Here is a 23474-nt window from a genome sequence, read left to right as displayed (position 1 = left end):
CCTCAGGAGACTGGTCCCGCAGCGCAAGTGTGTCCCTCTACCCCCCGCAAGCCGGGCCGCGTCTTCCTGGCTCTCCTGGCGCCGGCACCGAGCAGGGCGTGGACCTGAACTTATGTGACCCCACCCGGTCACAACCCGGGGTAGGAAGCTAAAGCCGTCCGCCCACCCGAGGGGCGGTCCCAGCACCCCAGTGGGGGACTGCTGCGCTCGGCCTCTGTGTTCGATCGGGAACCCAGGTCTCTTCCCTGCCAATAACAAAACCGCCGCGTCCCGGGCCTCCCTTCCGGAGCCGGAGTCGGCGGCCGAGCGCTGGTGGCGGAGCCTGGACAGTTAATTCCAACCGCCTCCGGGTGATTCCGGGGACAGGAGCGCCGAGAGCTCCTCCCTTTGGCCGCGGAGCCGGCTCGGCGCTGATTGGCTGAGGGCCTCGGTTGTGGCTCTTGAAGGCTCCCCATTGGCCCCGCGCTCCAGTGGCAGGAGTGTGGCGGCCCGGCCTCCGCAGGCTACCCGGGGTTGAAGCTACTGCGAGCTCCGGTGGCTGCCTGGGGACGCTCAGGGACGCTCATTCCTGGCCAGAGTCCTGACTTCTTTCTCGGATCGAGATCTCGTTGCTGGCTCGAGGAAATCACCGGCTCTTCTCCCGGATCCTTTTCTTCTCTCACTTGCTGGCTTTCTTCTTCCTGCCTCCCTGGCTTCCATCTCCCAACCCCGCGATTCCCTCCTCTACTCCCGTGCTCCCGTCGCCCGCCATCCTGAGCCATCCCACCTGCAACCTTCTGTCTTTTGCCCCTCCTTGACCTCAGAGGGTCCTGCCTTAAGCTTCTCACCAGAATCTCCTAGATTTCTATCTCTTCCCTGCTTGCCAGCTCTTGACTCCCAAATTCCAGCTGACGTTTGACCACTTGACATTTGACCCTGACACCCTTGACTGCAAATCTAAATTCTTATCTTCTGCAACCTGTACTGCTGAAACAGGCCTTCCCCCTGTCTTCCAACCCCGCTTTCTGACACCCATTTTTACTTTCTTACTCTTGGGTCAGTTCCTGCTACAGCTATCCCACCATGGACTTCTTGATGAGTGGCCTGGCAGCCTGCGGGGCCTGTGTATTCACCAATCCCCTGGAGGTGGTGAAGACCAGGATGCAGTTGCAAGGAGAACTGCAGGCCCCTGGCACATACCAGCGGCACTACCGAAATGTCTTCCATGCCTTCATCACCATCGGCAAGGTGGATGGCCTTGCTGCCCTGCAGAAAGGCCTGGCCCCCGCCCTCTTGTACCAGTTCCTGATGAATGGCATCCGACTGGGCACCTATGGGCTGGCTGAGGCTGGGGGCTACCTGCACACAGCCGAAGGCACCCACAGTCCTGCCCGCAGCGCAGCAGCTGGGGCCATGGCTGGGGTCATGGGAGCCTACTTGGGGAGCCCCATCTACATGGTAAGAAGAGGGCTCTTGCCTGGGACCTTCAGGGCAGATCCTCGTTGTAGGATAGGAGCTGTTCTTTCCCAAGGGCATAGGTGGCAGAGTGCTGCCCCACTGCAAGCAGGGAAAGGCATCAGGAAAGTGCTGGTAGGCTTCGGAGTCTTCTGATCTGCCCTATACACACCCATCTGATGGACACGATTGAATGTATTGATTAAGATTATGGGCTTTGGGGCCGGGTGCAGTGGTTCACACCTGTAATCCCAGCACTTTGGGAGGCCAAGGCGGGCGGATCACGAGGTCAGGAGATGGAGACCATCCTGGCTAACACAGTGAAACCCCGTCTCTACTAAAAATACAAAAAATTAGCCGGGTGCGGTGGTGGGCGCCTGTAGTCCCAGCTACTCGGGAGGCTGAGGCAGGAGAATGGCATGAACCCGGGAGGCGGAGCTTGCAGTGAGCCGAGATCCGGTCACTGCACTCCAGCCTGGGCCACAGAGCAAGGCTACGTCTCACAAAAAAAAAAAAAAAAGATTATGGGCTTTGGAATCAGACTTTCTGGAACTAAAATCCTGGCTTTGAAAATTACTAGTTGTTGGCCGGGCGCGGTGGCTCACGCCAGTAATCCCAGCACTTTGGGAGGCCGAGGCGGGCGGATCACGAGGTCAGGAGATGGAGACCATCCTGGCTAACACGGTGAAACCCCGTCTCTACTAAAAATACAAAAAATTAGCCGGGCGTGGTGGTGGGCGCCTGTAGTCCCAGCTACTCCGGAGGCTGAGGCAGGAGAATGGCCTAAACCCAGGAGGCGGAGCTTGCAGTGAGCTGAGATCCGGCCACTGCACTCCAGCCTGGGCCAGAGAGAGAGACTCCGTCTCAAAAAAAAAAAAAAAAAGAAAAGAAAGAAAATTACTAGTTGTTGAGCTTCAGTTGCCACATCTGTAAAATGGTGATAATTATAGTGCCCTTTCTGTGTGATTATTGGGAGGATCGAGGGAGACAAATGCGGTAGACATGAAAGCATTAGTGCGAATCCTGGCAGACAGTAAGCATTTGGTAGCATTTGTTTTTATTATTATGTGTTGATATTGAGGTTGGATTTGTGAAGGGGAGGATAAGGAATTTAACATACGTCAGAGAGTCTAGGGATCAGGAAGGCCCTGGGCATCACAGAATTAACAATCTCAACATCTGCCCCTTTGAGTTATCTGGTATAGGTGAAGGGTCAAGAGCCTGAGGCCCAGAAAGGGGAAGTGACCCACTCAAGGTCACACAGCTGTTTATTGCTAGGACTAGGCCCTGCTTAGTGCTCCCAAGAGCAAAAGAGACGGGGAAGTAGTATGTCCTGTAGCAGAGGCAGTCTGGTCTCATTTCAAGGTGTGAGTTTCAGGGACAGTGGTCTCCCCAAAGTCAGCTCGATACCTCTGTGGGGGTTGGGGGCTAGAGAGCAAGTTTTGCCCAGAGTCTGATGGGGAGCCTGATAGAAGTGGTGGCTGGAGATCCAGTCTGGGAATGGGAGCTAGCATGAGAGGCGGGACACCAGGTCTTGCCTAACATGAACAGCCTTAGGAAATATTGCCATTCTCCAACCACTCCACCCCCGACTGCTAGCCCCAAGGGAAAGAGGATATGAAGGGGTTGGGGTGTCTTGCAGTGCTGGGAGATCCACCCCCCTGGGGCTGGAGCCTAGAGACAGAGTCTTTTTGTTAACCAGTTTGTTAAGTAGGAAGAACAATAATCAGAGTAAGAGGCTATTCATTGCTGAACACCCTAGAGGAAGTGTGAGGGGGTGAGACATTTGGTTCTCAGGTAGGAGGATGGCCACTGGGGCACAGGCTATGATATTCTCTTGTTCCCAGGTGAAGACACACCTGCAGGCACAGGCAGCCTCAGAAATTGCTGTAGGGCACCAGTATAAGCATCAGGTGAGGGTTCCCAAGTCTGCCAAAGTCCCTGACCATCCTTTCTCTTTTCCCCTAGCTTTCTGCCTGCACCCAACAGATCCAATCCCAGCCACTGCTCTGCTCAACCCATCGGTTCTGTCCCATTTTGCCCCTGGAGTCTACCCAGACCCTCTTTACTCTTTTTTTAGATGGAGTCTCGCTCTGTTGCCCAGGCTGAAGTGCATTGGCACGATCTCGGCTCACTGCAACCTCCGCTTCCCGGGTTCAAGTGATTCTCCTGCCTCAGCCTCCCGAGTAGCTTGGGACTACAGGCGTGCACCACCACACCCAGCTAAATTTTTTTTGTTTTGTTTTGTTTTGTTGAGACAGAGTCTTGCTCTGTTGCCCAGGCTGGAGTGCAGTGGCGCAGTCTTGGCTCACTGCAACCTCCACCTCCCGGGTTCAAGTGATTCTCCTGCTGCAACCTCTTGAGTAGCTGGGATTACAGCCATGCGCCACCACGTCCAGCTAATTTTTGTAATTTTAGTAGAGATGGGGTTTCACCATGTTGGTCAGGCTGGTCTCGAACTCCTGAACTTGTGATCCGCCCGCCTCGGCCTCCCAAAGTGCTGGGATTACAGGCATGAGCCACTGCACCCGGCAATTTTTGTATTTTTAATAGAGATGGGGTTTCACCATGTTGGCCAAGCTGGTCTCAAACTCCTGACCTCAGGTGATCCACCCGCCTGGGCCTCCCAAAGTGCTAGGATTACAGGCGTGAGCCACCGTGCCTGATGCCTCTTTCCAATATGTACTCCAGTTCCTCTAATTTTCTGCCCCTGTTTCTCCTGACCAGTGAATGGCCTCACTTGCATACATCCCGCCCCAGTTCTTGGGTGCCCAGGGAAGGAACAATGGGGTGGCTAGACAACCAAGGGCCCACATTCTGGCTCTAAGCCCACATTGAACTGGTTGTCTGGACAAGAGATTCCTATTAAGGACCCATCCTTGGCAGTGTTAGGATGGCAGCCCCTGATGCTGGGCTGTCTGAACCCCACCCCCGGTCTTCCCCACACTAGGGCATGTTTCAGGCGCTAACCGAGATTGGCCAGAAACATGGTCTGGTGGGGTTATGGCGTGGGGCTCTGGGCGGCCTGCCCCGAGTTATCGTCGGTTCCTCCACCCAGCTGTGCACCTTCTCATCCACCAAGGACCTCCTGAGCCAGTGGGAGGTACTGCCTGGGAAATGGGTGGGTCTGTTTCGGGAAGGGGGGAAGGGGAGGGCAAGCTGCACTAGGCCCTGGAGGGGATGGTGCCCAACATTCACAGGTGAGGGAGTGGCAGGAGGGCTTGGAGGTCAACTCTTTAGACCCTTCCCACAGTTCTCTTGTCACTTCCTCCCAGAAGGGGTACCTGAGCCTTCAGGGTACCCTGGCCTTCCTCCTTCTCACTGTTTTTGCACTGTTATAACTGGTGCAGTGGAAGCTCCCCCAGTTACCAGCATCTGTGTCCCCAGGGCAGGGACTGTCCTGTCCTTGGGGTGTAATAGTTGGCTGGTTGACAACGCTCTTCCTCTCTACCCCCTTAGATCTTTCCTCCCCAGAGCTGGAAGTTGGCGCTGGTGGCTGCCATGATGAGTGGCATTGCAGTTGTCTTGGCCATGGCACCCTTTGATGTGGCCTGCACAAGGCTCTACAACCAGCCCACAGATGCACAGGGCAAGGTAAGGAAGTGCTCTGGGATGCAGGCGGGAAGCAGGGGATGGGGAAGGCAGATTGCGGGTGCAGGTGGGATAGCCTGAAATGCAGCCTGTAGAGGTGCTGCCCCTGGTGGGCTCTGACAAACTCCTTCTCTGTGCTCTCCCTCCCTCTCTGACACACTCTCAGGGCCTCATGTACCGGGGGATACTGGACGCTCTGCTGCAGACAGCTCGGACCGAGGGCATTTTTGGCATGTACAAGGGTATAGGTGCCTCCTACTTCCGCCTCGGCCCCCACACCATCCTCTCCCTCTTCTTCTGGGACCAGCTGCGCTCCCTCTACTACACAGACACTAAATAACAGCCGCTTTCCCAGTCTCCACCAAATGAGCACTCCTTGGCCACTTGTGCCTCCACCACTATGTCCTGGTGACTACTGATTAGGTGACCTTTCATCCATCCATGGGGGACAGCCAACCCCACTCCCCATCTGTTCTCAGGGTTGAATCACTACAAGAGATGAGTTTCCCTTCTTTCCTTGGGTGTTGCTTTAAACCTTCCCTACCCATTCCCTGGGTAACTCACACCCCTCTCTCAGGGCTGAACGAGTCATCCCAAAGTGTATTTCCTCCCACTCACCACTGCCACCCTTGAGTCCCTCCTGCTCCCATGCACAGTTTTAAACTCCTCCCTCCAAAACCAAAGGGAATCGAGAGACCCAATTCCCAGGCGTCTGGGACCCAGGTGTCCTGTTAGATTCAAAGGCACAGAGATTATATTGATTATAAAGCAAGTTTATTCTGAAGAGGGATTGTCTTATGTTTACGCACAGGGAAGAAATAAGAGGAAACCCTCTTTTCAACCTCTTTTCCCCCTCACAGAACCGAGTCCCCAAGTTCTCAGCAACATCATGCAGTGCTTCAGCGCCTTTACTGGGGACCAAAGATGTTAGGATCGTGAAGGGTCAGACTGGTCACCAGCTGTTCAAAGTCACCCAGGCTCCAGGGTGCAGGTGACAGATTTTCGGGGCCAAGAGATGACCTGTTGTCAGGGCTTGGGGTGGGGGAACAGATGGAGACAGAACATCATCCAGGCCTGAGGTTTGGAAATTGCCAATTCCTGTTCCCCAGAGGACCTGGGTATCAGTTACCCCAAACCTCTGGCCCACTCCTGCTTCCTTGGAGGATCCCACCAGTGAGTCTCCCTGTTCTGTCCCTCCCAGCCCGATTCTCCTGGGAACCCAGTCATGAGATACCCGCCCGTTCCTTCCTCCTTACGGGGGCTGATTGAAGGTAAGCAAGAGATCAGTCTGGTACTGGGGCAGCCTCAGCAAGGCCTGATGAAGTGTCACGTCCTTTGCTACCTAAGGGGATCAGAGTCAGGATGCTTACCTGGATCTCTGCGTCCCCGCTACCGCCCTTCCAGGACATTACACACTCTCGGGCCCTCACCTGCTGGTTTTCCTTAGCTATCTGCTGCTTGCCAGAGAGGACCCAGGCTTCTTGACAGCGGCCCCTCAGGGCCAGGTTCTCCAAACTGAGAGGCTGAACAGACTCCACATGGACAGCCCTAGCCCCCTGCACGCCACCAACATCCTCAAAGTGGTACCTGGAGTAGGGAAGCGGGGTCAGGAAGGGACATCTCTGGTCGCCTCCCCGGGAGCATCTTTAAGTTGCAGGCCTGGCTCCCGGCCCGTGCGTGGTCTCACCGCCCGGATTAACCGTCGGCCGCGGGCCCCGCCCACTGGTCCGACCCCGCCCCTGCCATTGGCCAGCCGGGGGCCATTCCCTCACCGCGCAGCCGCTTCGCCCCGTACGTGGGCCTGCAGCTCGAGAAGTTCCACTATCAGGCTCTGGTCCGTCACGGGATGGCAGAAAACTTCTTGATTGTCCGGGACCGGTCGGAGGTCGCTGGAGTGAGGCGAGGCAGACCCTGGTTGACCCCGGTCTCTTCCCACAACCCACCCAGTCAGCCGCCCCTGGGCGCCCCGGCCTTCTCACCTTACGTCAATGGCCCCCATGGGGAGGATGGCGGAAAAGGCGCCCCCGAACAGCGGGCAGTCTCTCGTGGGCTCCATGGGTCTGAGGCTGGGTTATGGGCATTAGAAAGGTTTAAAAGAAGTCCACATTGGGTCACGTGGCATCGGCTCCCTGGGTTTCGCAGCTGCCACCGCCACCCGGGTCTGGCTTAGCTCCCGGATCCTTTAAGATTTGGCTCCGCCCTGCGCTCTCGTTGGCCAATCGGCGCCAAGACCCTGGGGGCGGGGGTCAGCGGCTTTGCTCCGGAAGCCGCGCTCTTAGGAGTGCGCCTGGCGGGACGGTGGGGTCTGCCTTGGGGTTGGACTTAGGGTTAGGGTCTATGTCGCCCCCGGTGGTCACGAGCATGCTCCCGCCAGCCTCCTCTTGATTGATTGATTGATTGATTGATTGACAGGTCTCGCTGTGTCGCCCAGGCTGTAATGCAGTGGCGCGATCACCGCTCACTGCAGTCTCCACCTCCAGGACTCAAGTGATACTCCTGCCTCAGCCTCTTGAGTGGCTCCTGCTCCCGCCACCACGCCCGGCTAAATTTTTAATTACTTGTAGAAATGGGGCGGGGTGGGGAGTGTCTCCCAATCTTGCCCAGGCTGGCCTCAAACTCCTGGACTCAAGCGATCCTCCCGCCTCGGCTCCCTAAGTGCTGGAATTACAGGCGAGAGCCACAGCGCCTGGCCTCCTCGTCCTTTTCAAGTGGTCACACCTTCCAAGAAGGTCGCCTGAGACCCTCCTGAGGGGCAGGTGCTCGTCAAAGGGGCCCACGTCTAGGTAGGGTCTCTTGAGTCAGGAAAGCATAGTTTCACGGTGTTCTGGGCCTCTGAAAGAAGAATGGGCTGCCACCCAGACCGCTAATTCATAGATCTGCTGCTGGGAATTAGGGGAACAATGCGTCCAGGTTAGGATTCAGGTCTCACATCTTCCTGAAAGTGAGAGCCAACCTGGGTATTAGAAATCTAATTCCTCTCAAATATTTGCCTTGGGAATGCTCCCGGGCAGGTGCAACCCCACCCCCAGCTCCACACACCTGGACAGAAGCACAGATTAAACCCTCTTTTGTTTGTCTTTTACAGATTTGTTGTGTTCTTTAAGTTTTAACTTCACTATATCATTTCAGTTCATTTCTCTATTCATCTTTGATCCTCAGCACCCGGCACGGTGTTTAGAGCATAACAGACCTGATATATATTGGGTTTTTTTGTTTTGTTTTGTTTTTGAGATGGAGTTTCACTCTTGTTGCCCAGGCTGGAGTGCAATGGCATGATCTTGGCTCACTGCAACCTCCGCCTCCTGGGTTCAAGCTGTTCTCCTGCCCCAACCTCCCAAGTAGCTGGATTACAGGCATGCACCACCACACCCAGCTAATTTTGTATTTTTAGTAGAGATGGAGTTTCTCCATGTTGGTCAGGTGAGTCTCGAACTTCCGACCTCAGATGATCCGCCTGCCTTGGCCTCCCAAAGTGCTGGGATTATTACAGGCGTGAGCCAGCGTGCCCAGCCCAGACCTAATATATATTGTTAAGTGATTGAATAAACTCAATGCAAATGTCTGGAACCCAGGAGATCACCCATACCCTCATGGATTCTAGATGTCACCTACTTCCCAGCCAAGAATTGGGCAAGAGGACTCTGATCTTGAGGCCATTCCACAGGGTTCCAAGTGCTGACCATACCTCTGGACCCTAATGACTTAGTGAAATGAAGCCAAAGGGTACATATTTATTGGTCTCTTACCTTGCCAGGCCCTAATGTGAAGGGCTGGAGATACAAAGACATTTAGGACACAGCCCCCGATGCCTCACTGAAGGAACAGTGGAGCACACTTTGAGTCTTTTTTTGTTTTTTTTTTTGAGAGGCGGTCTCACTGTTGCCAAGACTAGACTGTAGTGGTGCAGTCGTAGCTCACTGCAGCCTCAACCTTGTGGGCTCAAGCCATCCTCCTGCCTCAGCCTCCTGAGTAGCTGGGACTACAGGCATGCACCACCATGCTCCGGTAATTTTTGTGTGTGTGTGTGTGTTTTATTTTAGGGATGGAGTCTCACTGTGTTGCCCAGGCTGGTCTCGGACTTCTGGTCTCAAGTGATCCTCCTGCCTTGGCCTCCCAAAGTGATGGGATTATAGGCATGCGCCACCATGCCTGGCCCATACTTTGAGTCTTAAAGTTTGACTCAGAATTCAGTAGGACATCCTAGGGGTATTCTAGCTGGGGGAACATCAGGAGCAAAAACTTGGAGATGAGAGGGCATATTTTGGAGAAAGCAAGTGTATCTGTTTGGCAAGGGAGGGTAGGATGGGAATGGGTGGCAGGGAGCTGCAAACACAGTCAGGTGTGCAGGGTTTTTGTAGCGCACACTAAGGAGCTTGACTCCTCATTTCTTACTATAGCCATCAGACTCCTCTCTGAGTCTCATTTCCTCATCTCTAAAATGCTGTTGGGGGGCCAGGCGCCGTGGCTCACACCTGTAATCCCAGCACTTTGGGAGGCCCAGGTGGGTGGATCACCTGAGATCAGGAGTTCTAGACCAGCCTGGCCAACATGGTCAAACCCTGTCTCTACTAAACATACAAAAAAAAAAAAAAACAAAGGAAGAAATCAGATATGGATGTAGTTGAGTCTGACCTATTTCTGGGTAAAGAGAGTAGAATAAGTTTGCTGTATGAGGAATTTGACAGAGCGGGGGCGTTACAGGCTCTAGAGGGAAAGAAGGACCCCAGCCATGGGAAACAAAAGGAGCCAGGTCAGAGGAGTCCACCCCATGATGCTTCTCTGGGATAATGAGTGACAGACCTCTCTGTCCCTCTCTCCTCCTTGCTGCCAGCCTGCTCTCCAGCTCCATTCCCCACCAGGGGCAATACTGGCTCTGGCTGCTTTGGGAGCAGTCAAGCAGGTAGAGTCCTTGGAAAGGGACCTACAGGGACATAGAAGTTAACAGGGTGCCTGCACCAGGCATAAGGGGGTGTGGAGGCCTGTTACATGGGCCCAGAGGAGGTCACGCCAGGTCAGGAAGGCTGAGAAAAAAGCCCCCCCAACTTCCTCATTTTGGGTGTCTGGCCTGTCTCATGTTCTCCCATGAGCCCTACGCAGCTGGGGACCCCTGGCCCTCCACAATTCTGTGGGCTCTTGGGGGCTGCTCAGCCAGACCTCCTCTGAATGAATGGGGTGGAAGGCCACCCTCACTTGGCAAATCCCCACGCTTGGCTCCACTTCCCCTTCTCCCTTCACCTTTTTTTTTGTGTGCCTGTCAATTCTGCTGGCCCTGCCACCTGTCGACTCCCTCAAGTGTTCAAATTCCAACTTCCCAAGGGACAGGATCCAACTGGGTCGATTAGTTGTTATTCAATCTGAAAGTACCTATTTGGCCGGCTCTCCTGCCTGGCCACTCCTCAGGCCACCACCCAAACACAAGGGAGATCTCTGGTCCAGCTGGCTGTGGCTAGGATGATAAGTATCAGGGGACAAATCTCAGTAGAGAGAAGGCCAGCAGCCACTTTTCTCAGGCGAATGTGAGGGTATGGCTCGCTGTCAGCCCACTGGTTGCAAGTAGGCCTGCAACTGATTGATTCTCTACACCTGGGACATTCCCTTATCCAATGCCCTGCATGCAGTTGATGCAGTTGTTTGCTATGGGGACAAGAGTCCCAGAGACTCTCCCCTTTAGGGCACCAAGAGATGGACTCAGATCAGAGAGACAACACCACACCCAAAGTCAAGCATTCCTTTGAGTTAGGACAATGAATATTTCTATTAAGCAGGGGTTTTCGTCCTTTTTTCTACTGTGGACTGCTTTGGCAGTTTTGTGAAGCCCATGATCCCCTATTCGGTGTAATGTTATTATTTTTATTTTTTCTGTGTTTTTGAGACAGGGTCTTATTCTGTCACCCAGGCTGGAGTGCAGTGGCATGATAACAGCTCACTGCAGCCTCAACCTCCTGGGCTTAAGCCATCCTCCCACCTTGGACTCTCAAAGAGATTACAGGCATGGGCCAGGTGCGGTGGCTCACGCCTGTAATCCTAGCACTTTGAGAGGCCTAGGTGGGCAGATTGCTTGAGCTCAGGAGTTTGAGACCAGCCTGGAAAACAAAGTGAGACTCTGTCTCTATTACCAAAAAAAAAAAAAAAAATTAGCCAGGCATGGTGGCATATGCCTGTAGTGCCAGCTACTTGGGAGGCCAAGGTGGGAGGATGACTTGAGCCTGGGAGGCAGAGGTTGTAATGAGCCAAGATCACGCCATTGCACTCCAGCCTGGTCAACAGAGCCAGACTGTTTCTCAAAAAATAAAAAAGAAAATTAAACCCAGATATTTGATAGAGTACAAGTCTACTTCTTTGTTATCATATTAACTAGATCTAGCAGCAGTCTCTAATAAATGTAATAAAAAACTAGCAATGCATACAAATTATGGTTCAAGATATCCACAGCCATTCTAAAGTAAGCATATCTGTAACTGCTATTGAGATGAAACCACAGATACTGCTAATACTACTGTGGTTTGTTACCTAAATTCACAGTGAAAGGAAATGCTAAATTTCAGTTAAAAGGTTACTGAAAACATGGCTGTACGCAGTGGCTCACCCCTGTGATCCTAACACCGTAGGAGGCCCAGGAGGGAGGACTGCTTGAGCCCAGAAGTTCGAGACTAGGCTGCGCAACATGGCAGAACACCAACTCTACCAAAAAAATACAAAAATTAGCTGGGCATAGTGACTCGCACCTCCCAGCTACTGGGGAGGCTGAGGCGGGAGGATTGCTTCAGCCTGGGAGCTTGAGGCTGCAGTGAGTCGACATCATGCCACTGCACTCCAGCCTGTGTGACAGAGGGAGACCCTGTCTCAAAAAAAAAAAAAAAAAAAAGAGCCAGGAGTGGTGGTACACACCTGTAGTATCAGCTACTTGGGAGGCTGAGGTGGGAGGATGGCTTGAGCCGGGAGGTTGAGGCTGCGGTGAGCCGAGATGCCACTGCACTCTAGCCTGGGTGACAGAGGGAGACCCTGTCTCAAAATATCATAGCCTGGGCGACAAGAGCTAAACTCCGTCTCAAAAAAAAAAAAAGGAAAAAGAAAGATGAAATTTTTATCCAAGCTCATTGACTAAAGACTAAGAAACCCAGCTATGAAGTATTTTGTGTATTTAGCCCTGTACTAGGCTTTAGGAGAGGGTCTAAAAATGGGTAAAACATGGCCCTTCTTTCTGGGCCTTCAGCCTGAACAGGAAGAGCTAGGGCGTGCTACAGTTCATATCCTGTAATGAGATCTAGTTTGTGACCCAGCTTAGTCCCCGGCTGAGAAACCTGCCTTGGGGAGATGCTTAGGATTGTCTGGCAATCAGTGGTAGCCACAGTAGATACACAATACACAAAGGCCTGCTATAACGAAGTTAGTGTCTGAGGAAGACCAGTGTGTCCTCGTGTTTGGAGCAATTCTATACCTGTCAGTCCTTTCCCTGCAACTTTTCAGCCCCATATCCCATCATTTTCCCCTTATAGTCTTTTTTTTTTATGTTTTGAGACGGAGTCTCGCTCTGTCGCCCAGGCTGGAGTGCAGTGGCATGATCTTGGCTCACTGCAACCTCCACCTCCCGGGTTCAAGTGATTTTGCTGCCTCAGCCTCCCGAGTAGCTGGGATTACTGGCATGTGCCACCACTCCTGGCTAATTTTTGTATTTTTAGTAGAGATGGGGTTTCACCATGTTGGCCAGCCTGGTCTTGAACCCCTGACCTCAGGTGATCCACCCGCCTCTGCCTCCCAAAGTGCTGGGATTACAGGTGTGAGCCACTGCGCCCTGCCATTTTCCCCTTATAGTCTGTTTCTCCTTATAGACACTGAACTTTCTTCAATCCCTTGACTGAGTCAACCTCTTTCATGCCTCTGGGCATTTGCACATGTGATGCCCTCTGCCTAGAACTTTCTTTCCCCCTTCTTCCCTAGCTAGCTCATCCTCAGATCTCCAGAAAACATTTGTGGATTAACTGCTGGCTCCTGCTGTGCTGCTATGCTCCTGTCACCACTGCAGGCGCCTCACTGTGTAACACACTAAGCACCAGGAGAGAGGGGTCCATGTCTGTCTTTTCACCATCAACTTTCCACTGACTTGTACAGGGCCTGGCCTGTATTTATTGGATGGCAGTTAAGAGATAGGTTATTTACCAGTTAGGCCCTTTTAAAAGATGTTGTACAATAAAGAACTTGACTGGGCCAGGCGCAGTGGCTCAGCCTGTAATCCCAACACTTTGGGAGGTTAAGGTGGGACGATCACTTGAGCCCAGGAATTCGAGACCAGCCTGGGCAATGTAGCCAGACCCCATCTCAACCAAAAATTTAAATAATTAGCTGGGCATGGTGGTATGCACACCTGTAGTCCCAGGGAAGCTGAAGCAGGAGGATTGCTTGAGTCCAGGAGTTTGAGGTTGCAGTGAACTATGATTACACCACTACACTCCAGCCTGGATGACAGAACAAGACTCCATCTCTTTTTTTCTCTTTTTTTTTGAGACGGAGTTTCGCTCTTGTTGCCCAGGCTGGAGTGCAATGGCACGATCTCGGCTCACCACAACCTCCGCCTCCCAAGTTCAAGTGATTCTCCTGCCTCAGCCTCCTGAGTACCTGGAATTACAGGCATGCACCACCATGCCCAGCTAATTTTTTTTTAGTTTTAGTAGAGATGGGGTTTCTCCATGTTGGTCAGGCTGATCTCGAACTCCCAACCTCAGGTGATTCGCCCGCCTCAGCCTCCCAAAGTGCTGAGATTACAAGCGTGAGCCACCACGCCTGGCCAAGACTCCATCTCTTAAAAAAAATAAAAATAAAAATAAAAATGAAAGAGCAGGCGTAGTGGCTCACGCCTGTAATCCCAGCACTTTGGGAGGCAGAGGCGGGTGGATCACCTGAGGTCAGGGGTTCAAGACCAGGCTGGCCAACATGGTGAAACCCCGTCTCTACTAAAAATACAAAACTTAGCCGGGCGCACTGGTGGGTGCCTGTAATCCTAGCTACTAAGGAGGCTGAGGCAGGAGAATCACTTGAATCCGGGAGGGGGAGGTTGCAGTGAGCCCAGATGGTGCCACTGCACTCCAGCCTGGGCGATAGAGTAAGACTTTGTCTCAAAAGCAAAAACAAAAAGGCCAGGCACGGTGGCTCAAGCCTGTAATCCCAGCACTTTGGGAGGCCAAGGCGGATGGATCACGAGGTCAGGAGTTCAAGATCAGCTTGGCCAACATGGTGAAACCTCATCTCTACCAAAAATACAAAAATTAGCTGGGCATGGTGGCACATGCCTGTAATTCCAGCTACTCGGGAGGCTGAGGCAGGAGAATTGTTTGAACTGGGACCCGGGAGGCAGAGGTTGCAGTGAGCTGAGATTGAGCCACTGCACTCCAGCCTGGGCTACAGAGGGAGACTCTGTCTCAAAACAAACAAACAAACAAACAAAAAACTTAATTGCCCTTTATGCCTGGTTCCTGAAAAACTCAAAATCTGTGGAATTTCCCATTATTGGAGTTGTTATTCTTGATAGGCCCTAATGGTTTATACTAATGAGGTGACTCATGGTGGGCCTCTAGATAGGTTATGCTAAGGACATGAATCAGGATGGGGGTGAGCCACACCAGAAAGATCAACCATGTGATTAGAGGGTTGGAGCTTTGGCCCAGTTGATATCAGCCCAATAAAACCCCAATAGGAATTCTGGACACTGAAGTTCAGTGAGGCTTCCTGGTTGGTGAACACATTGATGTGCCAGTAGGCTCTGTGCCCTGACTCCTCAGCAGTCCCCACAGGAGCTCAGATTCTGGGACCTGTTCCAACCTTCCCTATGCATATTCTTTTTTGTTGTTGTTGTTGAGACGGAGTCTCGCTCTGTCACCCAGGCTGGAGTGCAGCGGCACGATCTCTGCTCACTGCAGGCTCCACATCCTGGATTCACGCCATTCTCCTGCCTCAGCCTTCAGAGTAGCTGGGACTACAGGCACCCGCCACCACGCCTGGCTAATTTTTTGTATTTTCAGTACAGATGGGGTTTCACCGTGTTAGCCAGGATGGTCTTGATCTCCTGACCTCGTGATCTGCCCGCCTCGGCCTCCCAAAGTGCTGGGATTATAGGCGTGAGCCACCATGCCCGGCCTTTTTTTTTTTTTTTTTTTTTTTTTGTGAGTCTCACTCTGTCGCCCAGGCTGGAGTGCAGTGACACAATCTCATGTCCGGCTAATTTTTGTATTTTTATTTGTTTTTTTTTGTTTTTGTTTTTGAGACGGAGTTTCGCTATTGTTGCCCAGGCTGAAGTGCAATGGTGCAATCTCGGTTCAGCGCAACCTCCGCCTCCCAGATTCAAGCAATTCTCCTGCCTCAGCCTCCTGAGTAGCTGGGATTACAGGCATGCACCACCACGCCTGGCTAATTTTGTATTTTTAGTAGAGACGGGGTTTCACCATCTTGGTCAGGCTGGTCTTGAACTCCTGACCTCAGGTGATCCGCCCTCCTCGGCCTCCCAAAGTGCTGGGATTACAGGCGTGAGCCACCGCGCCCAGCCTAATTTTTGTATTTTTAGTAGAGATGGGGTTTTGCCATGTTGTCCAAGCTGGTCTTGAACTCCTGACCTCAGGTGACCTGCTTGCCTCGGCCTGTCAAAATGCTGGGATTACAGGCGTGAGCCACCGTGCCTGGACACCAATGCATATTCTTTATAATAAAACTATAATGCCACAATCATAAGTATAGTGCTTCTCTGAGTTCTGTGAGTCCTTCTGGTGAATTATTGAGCCTGTGGGGATTGTGGGAACTTCTGAACATAAAGCCAGTCAGGCAAAGTGTGGCTGACTTGGGGACGCCTGAGATTTGTGACTAGTGTCTGAAATGAGGGGAGTCTTGTGGAAGACTCAGACCTTTACTTCAGGGATCTGACACTAACTCTGGGTGGTCAGCCCCAGACTTGTATAGTGTGTGTGGAGGGATGAGAGTCTGTGCTAAGCTGTTACAGTTAGGAGAGGGAGAGATGAAGCCAGGACGAGCAATGCAGAAGGAAAACAATAATATGGGACAATGCACAAGGTGGAGGGGAAAAATGTAGAGCAGGTTCCAAGATGGAAGCCTGGTCACGAAGAATGGAGACACCAGCCGGGTGGCTCACGCCTGTAATCCCAGCACTTTGGGAGGCTGAGGCAGGCAGATCACCAGGTCGGGAGTTCAAGACGAATATGGTGAAACCCCGTCTCTACTAAAAATACAAAAATGAGCCAGGTGTGGTGGCGCACACCTGTAATCCCAGCTACTCAAGAGGCTGAGACAGGAGAATCACTTGAACCCGGGAGGCGGAGGTTGCAGTGAGCTGAGATCGTGCCACTGCACTCCAGCCTGGGCAACCAAACAAGACTTTGCCTCAAAAAAAAAAAAAAAAAAAAAAAAAAAAAAAAAAAGAATGGAGACACCAATGACAGAAAGACAGAGTTGGAGGGTTTGGGTTGTAAGTAGGGCAAAGAGGAAAGAGGGCCTCTCTTCTTTGCTGCTGCTAAGTCACGAGATTGGGCACTTTATCCTCTGTCCCCTAGTTCCCTACAATGGAGTCCAATTCCTCTGATTCTGTCATGCATCCCTTTTCAGCATAAGATCATCAGTGCCAGTGCAGCGGGGACCACCATCCATATGCCAGTGCTCTGTACATTTCTCCATAAGGACCCTGTGCCTGGAGCCAGCTAACAGCACATGGCCCCACTGCTCTCCCAACCAGGAACAAGGGACGTATTTTTCCAACTAGATTCTGGCAACCTTTAGTTTTGACTTCTCCACAGACACACGCCCTCCTGCATCTCACTGCTGTCTCTCAACACATATTCCAGAAGTGGGGAAGAGGAGGCAATTTGGACACTGTCAAACGGGAGAGGTGGTGTGTGGTGACGGATAGCAGCCCTGGTGGCCTGTCCTGAGTCTGATGGAGAGCCGAGGCAGGGCTCCCATCACAGCTCTTCAGAATCCTATGGGCCTCCTGCGGAGACAGAGGCACAACAGGCACCAAGGGAAGGAGGACTTTCCACATCCACAAGCAGTCTATGCAAACCTACCCAAAGGCCAAGGGAGCTGAGAGGCTGAAGAAAGAGACGGTGGCTCACGCCTGTAATCCCAGCACTTTGGGAGGCCAAGGCTGGCAGATCACCTGAAGTCAGGAGTTCAAGACCAGCCTGGCCAACATGGTGAAACTCCATCTCTACTAAAAATACAAAAGTAGCCAGGTGTGGTGGTGTGCTCCTGTAGTCCCAGCTACTCGGGAGGCAGAAGAATCACTTGAACCCAGGAGGCAGAGGTGGCAGTGAGCTGAGAGAGTGCCACCACTACACTCCAACCTGGGTGACAGAGCAAGACTCCATCTCAAAAAAGAAAAAAAAAAAAAAAAGAGGGAGACTGATTGATGTATCCAGTTTCTCAGAAAGAAACATTTAATAGCAACTTAGAAACAGAAGCCAGGCAGCCGTCAGTCAGTTATCCCCGAGTCCCAGGGCTGATATACCTGATGCAAAAGGTACACATGCCTCAGTAGAAATGTGTGGCACCACTGAAGTCAACCCCTCAGGGAAAGGCGCAGAATGCTATGTGAATCTACCTAAGAGCAGGATTTAAGGTCACAGTAGATAAAGTGGCAATCTTAGAGGAGGCATTCCAGAACAGGGGTTAACCAGAGGACAACATGGCGGATCAGCATCCAAGATGGAGCAGCTTCATCCTCCACGACAATCCAGGCTGGGATCTCTGTGTCTGAAACCCAGTGGAACTGCCCCTTGTTTCCGCCCTTGGAACCTCTTAGAAGGTGCCATCCCTCTTAAGAGTCCATGTGGTCCCAGCTTCCAAAGCACCACATAATTTAGCTCTTTTCTTTCTTTTTTTTTTTTTTTGAGACACATAATTGAGCTTTTTTCTTTTTTTTTTCACTCTTGTTGCTCAGGCTGGAATGCAATGGCTCCATCTCGGCTCACCACAACCTCTGCCTCCTGGGTTCAAGTGATTCTCCTGCCTCAGCCTTTCTGAGTAGCTGGGATTACAAGCATGTGCCACCATGCCCGGATAATTTTGTGTTTTTAGTAGAGACGAGGTTTCTCCATGTTGGTCAGGCTGGTTTCAAACTCCCGACCTCCTTCCTCGGCCTCCCAAAGTGCTGGGATTACAGGCCTGAGCCACTGTACCCAGCCTAATTTAGCTCTTTCCATCTGCTTGATTTAGCCAAGGCCACTTCCCTGTAACTTTCCACAGGTGAGATGTTTGGGAGTGGGGAGGGCCGTTGTACTGCGTTTGGCAATGATCTAGGGGAGAGGAGTTGTGGTGAACAGGCCTGCTTCCTAATCTCTCTTGTTGCCTTGGATCGCCGGGCAGTGGGAAGCCGCTCAACTGGTTAGACTGTTGGGTTAGTCGTGGCCATTCCTTCTCAGCTTCCTCTTTTTCTGTCAACCCCTTCAATGTTGGGCTACCAGGCCCTGCACACTCCCCCTAGATAACCTTACCCATCCACATACCAGTGCTTCCCAAATATTCATCTCCATCCCAGATCTCTTCTGACCACCTCCTGGATGCCTCCACCTACATGTCTCATTGACATTTCAAACTGAACACATCGTAAGCAAAGCACATCATCTTCCTCCCAGACATGTCCCTATCACAGGTAATGACACTATCTACCCAGTGGTTCAAGCAAGAAGCATGGGCATCATCACTGGCTCCTCTCTCCCCACCCCTCTTCCCCAACACCCAGTTCGTGGTGATTCCTCCCCCCACCCCCACCCCTGAGACAGAGTCTCGCTCTGTGGCCCAAGCTGGAGTGCAGTGGTGTGATCTCAGCTCACTGCAACCTCTGGCTCCTAGGTTCAAGCAATTCTCCTGCCTCAGCCTCCTGAGCAGCTGGGATTACAGACGTGCACCACCACACCCCGCTAATTTTTATATTTTTAGTAGAGATGGAGTTTCGCCATGTTAGCCGGGCTCGTCTCGAACTCCTGACCTTGTGATCTGCCCGCCTCAGCCTCCCAAAGTGCTGGGATTACAGGCGTGAGCCACCGCACCTGGCCATTCATGGTGATTCTATCTCCTAATAGCCCTGGAATCCTTCCACTTCTCGCCATTTCCACTGCCACTACGGTAGTCCGAGCTAGCACTGTTTCTGCCTGGAGACTGTGTAGCTTTCTCTGTGGACTCCCATGTCCTCTCCTGCCTCCCTCCTCTCAGAGTGATTTCTCAAAAATGCAGACCCCCTCATGTCTATCTATCTGCTGTATAAACCCCTCCAAATGGCTTCCGTTGCTCTTAGAATCAAGTCCAGATTCCTGTTCTGTTAGGCCTTCGATTTTGCCTGTCCTGTTTCCCAGTTATATTATACTTGATGTTCCAGACAGACTCACTCACCTTTGTTTAGCTCTTTACCATGTCTCTTGCCTCTGAGGCTTTGCAAATATTGTTGTTTTTCTAGAGTGCCACTCACCTTCATGTAACAAACTGCTACTCATCCTTCAGGTCTCAGCTCACTCCGAGAATCCTTCCCTGATCCCAAAAGTCTGGGCCACATCCCCTGCTATGAGCTCCACGGCACCCTGAGCTTCCCCTAAAAGTCACTGGATTGAAATCACTTGTTCCAAGTCTATCTCCCTCATGTGTGTCCCTCAGGAGGAGGCCCTTGACAATGTTGTTCCCTGAGTGACAGTATGGGCAGGGCTGTTTCACAGTGTTCTGTCTCATTCTGTAGTCGCAGGCTGCCCCTCCAGCCTGACCAGGCAGAGGGAGCTGCACAAAGCCCTTCCTGCTTGGGGGAGGATGGCCCAATGTCGCAGGCATTCCTAGTGGGCTGCTCACACGGAAAGGTTTCCTGAAGCCCCACAAGATGCCAAGACCCAGGCTCCACTGCAGCAGGCCTCCGGTCTCTACCATCTGGCTGTTTGCCACCCCCAAGTGTCCAGTGACAGAAGGTTTGTTTGGTTTCCACCACCACAGGGTCTTACATACAGCAGGTGCTGGGAGCACACTGCTAGCCAGGCCCCAGGATACTGACCACCCAGCTGCCGTGGGAGACATTCCTTCACCAGGCTCACCACTGACTGATGCCCACCCCTCTTCTTTCCAGTCTTTCTCCATTATCTATGTTCTAGTTTGAGCAGTGTCCCAGACACAGTTCAGAACGAAGTCCCTTGGTGGGCTGGCCTGTTGGAGAGCAGAGGGTGCCCTGGCGGGAAGCCTCTCTAAAACAGATGGCCCCTACCAGGTGGTCCCATCTGGATGCTCTCACTCACACTCCTTTTCTGTGCTTAGCCCCTGCCTGCTGCCTCCCCAGCCAGTAGTGCTCCTTCTAGCAACTGAGGATGACAGTAATGTGTGCTTAGTTCAGTGATGTGTCTTTTTCTGTGCAACTGAAGGGCCCTGTTGGCTGCCAGGCAAATGTTAAACTAAGCGGGAAAAAAAAAAAAGAAAAGAAAAAATGTTAAACCAAGCAAGAAAAGAGGCCGGGCCCGGTGGCTCACACCTGTAATCTCAGCACTTTGGGAGGCCGAGGCGGGTGGATCACAAGGTCAAGAGATGGAAACCATCCTGGCCAACATGGTGAAACCCCGTCTCTACTAAAAATACAAAAATTTGCCAGGCGTGGTGGCCTGCGCCTGTAGTCCCAGCTACTTGGGAGGCTGAGGCAGGAGAATTGCTTGAACCTGAGGGACGGAGGTTGCAGTGAGCCTAGATCGCGCCACTGCATTCCACCCTGGGCAGCTGAGTGAGACTCCATCTCAAGAAAGAAAAGAGACTTACTGGTTCTCCCTGTCTTTCCACTTACACAGGGCCAGTCCCCTTCATTTGACCTGATAACAAGAACTCGTGACTTTAACTGGACAAATGAGGTAAAAAGGGGAAATGCTTGAGAGGGTGTACAAAGTCCAAGCACCCATGAACCCAATCCACTAATTCACTTTTGTATTAAGAGAAAAAAATGTATGTCAATACTTACTAATTTTAACATTCATATGTATTAATTTGTTCAGCATATATTTATTGAGCACCTACTAGGTGCCGGGCACTGTGCTAGGTATTAGGACACGGTGGGGAGCAAAAATGGGTCTCCTATCCATGGAACTTACACACTAACAGGGAGACAGATCTTTGATCAAAGAAACAATTCAGGCCGGGCACAGTAGCTCACGCCCGTAATCCCAGCACTTTGGGAGGCCGAGGCGGGCAGATCAAGAGGTCAGGAGTTCAAGACCATCCTGATCAACATGGCGAAACTGTCTCTACTAAAAATATAAAAATTATCGCGCCACTGCACTCCAGCTTGGGCGACAGAGACTCCCTCTCAAAAATAATAAAATAAAATAAAATAAATAAAAATATAAAAATTAGCCAGACATGGTGGCACGTGTCTGTAGTCCCAGCTACTCGGGAGGCTGAGGCAGGAGAATTGCTTGAACCCGGGAGGTGGAGGTTGTGGTGAGCTGAGATCACGCTAGTGCACTACAGCCTGGGCAACAGAGGTAGACTCCATCTCTAAACAAAAACAGTTCACAGTTCATTGATTGCAATGGTGAAAAATAAAGTACAACAGAGACTTGGGCTGAAAAGGGAGGTATGTGGTGCTACTGAAATAACCTCTCACAAAGGATTTGAGCAGCGCTATTGACCCAGCTGAAACCCAAAGGAAGGACTTGATCACTAGGTGTGTATGTTGTTGTAAATTGTTTTTGCTTTTAGACCTCAGGTTTAGAGAACTAAGGTCATCATGACCCTGGGTTCATGGCACATTGTATCATCAAAGGCCCACTTGGGCACTTTCTTATTAACCTTTCATCTCCATTTTTCCTTCCCATTCCCTGTTTCCCCATACGTGGTTAATGATGAACTTATGAGAGAACCTGTTCTGTCTGGCTTTCTCAGAGAAAGCAGGTAGGTTGGGAGTTTGCCAAATGGGTATGATGAAAAGGTCATAGCTCAAGTGAAGGGGTTTTGGAAAGGCTGTTACTGGAAGCTGGATAAGGAGGGAAGAAAAGGAGCAATGGATTGGGGTAAAGTAATTATTGCACTGGAGGTCCTAATTACTTTGAAATCTCAGAGTATTGTGGATAAAGAAGAAAGATGGAAGGAAAGGGCCAGGCATGGTGGCTTATGCCTGTCATCCCAGCACTTTGGGAGGCCAAGGTGGGTAGATCACTTGAGGTCAGGAGTTTGAGACCATCCTGGCCAACATGGTGAAACCCCATCTCTACTAAAAATACAAAAACTAGCCAGGTATGGTGGCACATGCCTGTAATCCCAGCTACTTGGGAGGCTGAGGCAGGAGAATCGCTTGAACCCAGGAGGTGGAGGTTGCAGTGAGCTGAGATCGCACCACTGCCCTCCAGTCTGGGCGACAGAGTGAGACTCCATCTCAAAAAGAAAAAAAGTTGGAAGGAAACAGGACACCTGCATAAATAAGTTTGGAGATAGAGCCTTATGGTTGGAAACAGGACGCCTGAATAAATAAGTTTGGAGATAGAGCCGATCCTGGGTGATAAAATCCAAGTGGGATAGTTAGCTGAGGTGGAATGAAGGTCACTGTAGAAAAGTTCAGAGTGTTGGATGGTCACTGACATGGATACAGGATAACAGAAGGGGCTGAAGTGAAGCACAAGACAGGGAACCAGGGCCTAATACCCTTAAAGAATGAGAGCGAGTTAGGAGTGGTTGAATAGGGTAAGGTTTAGTTACAAGGGATGGAAAACACCAAAATTAATAGTGCTTAAACAAGATAGGCTGGCGCTTTGGTTTATGCCTATAATCCCAGCACTGTGGGAGATGGAGGCAGGCAGATCACTTCAGGTCAGGAGTTCAAGAACAGCCTGGCCAACATGGCGAAACCCCGTCTCTACTAAAAATACAAAAATTAGCTGGGCATGGTGGCACGTGCCTGTAATCCCAGCTACTCAGAAGGCTGGGGTGGGAGGATCGCTTAAACCCAGGAGGCAGAGGTTGCAGCAAGCGGAGATCACACCACTGTACTCCAGTATTCCAGCCCGGGAGACAGAGCGAGAGACTCTGTCTCAATGAAAAACAAAAGCAAAAACCAAGACACAAGTTCATTTCCTACACTCAAGACATTCAGTGTTATCTTGTCCTCATGGCACTCCTCAGTGTTGGAAGAACCAGTCTCCTTTGATCTTTTTTTCTTTTTTGAGACAGGATCTGGCTCTGTTGCCCAGGCTGGAGTGCAGTGGTATGATCACAGTTCACTGCAGCCTCAACCACCTGGGCTCAAGTGATCCTCCCACCTTAGCCTCCCAAGTAGATAAGAGGAAGAGCCTTCCTCTTATCTTGTTGCTCTGCATGGTACCAATTCCCAAAGCTACTTCAGTATGGCTACTGAACTTCCAGCTGTCGTGTCTGCATTCCAAACAATAGGAAGCAAGAATGGATAAAGGGGAAAATGTACCCTTCTTGTAAGAACACTTGCAAATTGTATA

General features: G+C 51.5%; 2 protein-coding genes across 16 annotated transcripts, besides 8 other annotated features; one reads left to right on the top strand and one right to left on the bottom strand.

Annotated features, from left to right (window-relative positions):
- SLC25A35 (solute carrier family 25 member 35) lies at positions 470-8107 on the top strand. 12 transcript variants are annotated; one of them, NR_135484.2, is made up of 8 exons: positions 470-1437; positions 3282-3347; positions 4385-4537; positions 4894-5028; positions 5192-5267; positions 5886-6016; positions 6227-6296; positions 6473-7010. NR_135484.2 is itself a non-coding variant. In NM_001320871.2 (7 exons), the coding sequence occupies exons 1-6, from the start codon at positions 1063-1065 to the stop codon at positions 6252-6254; spliced, it is 888 nt and encodes a 295-aa protein (NP_001307800.1). In that variant the 5' UTR covers positions 470-1062; the 3' UTR covers positions 6255-6296; positions 7438-8107. The 12 variants fall into 12 exon arrangements, 9 of the variants coding, with proteins under 9 accessions (NP_001307800.1, NP_001307801.1, NP_958928.1 ...); NR_135483.2 differs by having other exon boundaries at positions 5192-5255; positions 6227-8107; XR_007065297.1 differs by having other exon boundaries at positions 6227-8107.
- Positions 601-650: an enhancer, noted in NCBI's record as "active region_11696". NCBI's record gives its function as "activates an Ori minimal core promoter by ATAC-STARR-seq in GM12878 lymphoblastoid cells {active_cell/tissue: GM12878}" and the evidence as "EXISTENCE:reporter gene assay evidence [ECO:0000049][PMID:35858748]".
- Positions 671-750: an enhancer, noted in NCBI's record as "active region_11695". NCBI's record gives its function as "activates an Ori minimal core promoter by ATAC-STARR-seq in GM12878 lymphoblastoid cells {active_cell/tissue: GM12878}" and the evidence as "EXISTENCE:reporter gene assay evidence [ECO:0000049][PMID:35858748]".
- On the bottom strand, positions 5783-7200 carry RANGRF (RAN guanine nucleotide release factor). 4 transcript variants are annotated; one of them, NM_016492.5, is made up of 5 exons: positions 7005-7200; positions 6798-6914; positions 6456-6612; positions 6282-6367; positions 5783-6057 (listed from the first exon to the last, which is right to left on the bottom strand). In NM_016492.5, exons 1-5 carry the CDS (start codon positions 7079-7081, stop codon positions 5934-5936), a joined length of 561 nt encoding a protein of 186 aa, NP_057576.2. In that variant the 5' UTR covers positions 7082-7200; the 3' UTR covers positions 5783-5933. The 4 variants fall into 4 exon arrangements, with proteins under 4 accessions (NP_057576.2, NP_001171272.1, NP_001317056.1 ...); NM_001177801.2 differs by having other exon boundaries at positions 5783-6367; NM_001330127.2 differs by lacking the exon at positions 6282-6367.
- Positions 6478-6547: an enhancer, noted in NCBI's record as "active region_11694". NCBI's record gives its function as "activates an Ori minimal core promoter by ATAC-STARR-seq in GM12878 lymphoblastoid cells {active_cell/tissue: GM12878}" and the evidence as "EXISTENCE:reporter gene assay evidence [ECO:0000049][PMID:35858748]".
- Positions 6698-6747: a silencer, noted in NCBI's record as "silent region_8179". NCBI's record gives its function as "represses an Ori minimal core promoter by ATAC-STARR-seq in GM12878 lymphoblastoid cells {active_cell/tissue: GM12878}" and the evidence as "EXISTENCE:reporter gene assay evidence [ECO:0000049][PMID:35858748]".
- Positions 6828-6947: an enhancer, noted in NCBI's record as "active region_11693". NCBI's record gives its function as "activates an Ori minimal core promoter by ATAC-STARR-seq in GM12878 lymphoblastoid cells {active_cell/tissue: GM12878}" and the evidence as "EXISTENCE:reporter gene assay evidence [ECO:0000049][PMID:35858748]".
- Positions 7308-7537: an enhancer, noted in NCBI's record as "active region_11692". NCBI's record gives its function as "activates an Ori minimal core promoter by ATAC-STARR-seq in GM12878 lymphoblastoid cells {active_cell/tissue: GM12878}" and the evidence as "EXISTENCE:reporter gene assay evidence [ECO:0000049][PMID:35858748]".
- Positions 10569-11069: an enhancer, noted in NCBI's record as "H3K4me1 hESC enhancer chr17:8188119-8188619 (GRCh37/hg19 assembly coordinates)". NCBI's record gives its function as "activates a minimal SCP1, AML or CMV promoter by ChIP-STARR-seq in naive H9 embryonic stem cells {active_cell/tissue: H9 hESC(naive)}" and the evidence as "EXISTENCE:reporter gene assay evidence [ECO:0000049][PMID:30033119]".
- Positions 11070-11570: an enhancer, noted in NCBI's record as "H3K4me1 hESC enhancer chr17:8187618-8188118 (GRCh37/hg19 assembly coordinates)". NCBI's record gives its function as "activates a minimal SCP1, AML or CMV promoter by ChIP-STARR-seq in primed H9 embryonic stem cells {active_cell/tissue: H9 hESC(primed)}" and the evidence as "EXISTENCE:reporter gene assay evidence [ECO:0000049][PMID:30033119]".

Source organism: Homo sapiens, chromosome 17 (assembly GCF_000001405.40).
Source record: "Homo sapiens chromosome 17, GRCh38.p14 Primary Assembly".
Lineage (NCBI taxonomy): Eukaryota > Metazoa > Chordata > Mammalia > Primates > Hominidae > Homo > Homo sapiens.
This window is presented reverse-complemented; position numbering and strand designations above follow the sequence as displayed.

Bases quoted from the DNA above. Each gene is read 5' to 3' on its own strand.
- RANGRF (NM_016492.5), bottom strand. From the start codon at position 7,081: ATGGAGCCCACGAGAGACTGCCCGCTGTTCGGGGGCGCCTTTTCCGCC. The intron at 6,613-6,797 runs GTGAGGGAATGG...TCCCTACTCCAG, and splicing joins CGGGGCGAAGCGGCTGCGCG to GTACCACTTTGAGGATGTTG. The intron at 6,058-6,281 runs GTAAGGAGGAAG...CCCCACCCCAAG, and splicing joins CTTACCTTCAATCAGCCCCC to CCCTGACAACAGGTCATCTC.
- SLC25A35 (NM_001320870.2), top strand. From the start codon at position 1,063: ATGGACTTCTTGATGAGTGGCCTGGCAGCCTGCGGGGCCTGTGTATTC. The intron at 1,438-3,281 runs GTAAGAAGAGGG...TCTTGTTCCCAG, and splicing joins TGGGGAGCCCCATCTACATG to GTGAAGACACACCTGCAGGC. The intron at 4,538-4,893 runs GTACTGCCTGGG...CTACCCCCTTAG, and splicing joins ACCTCCTGAGCCAGTGGGAG to ATCTTTCCTCCCCAGAGCTG.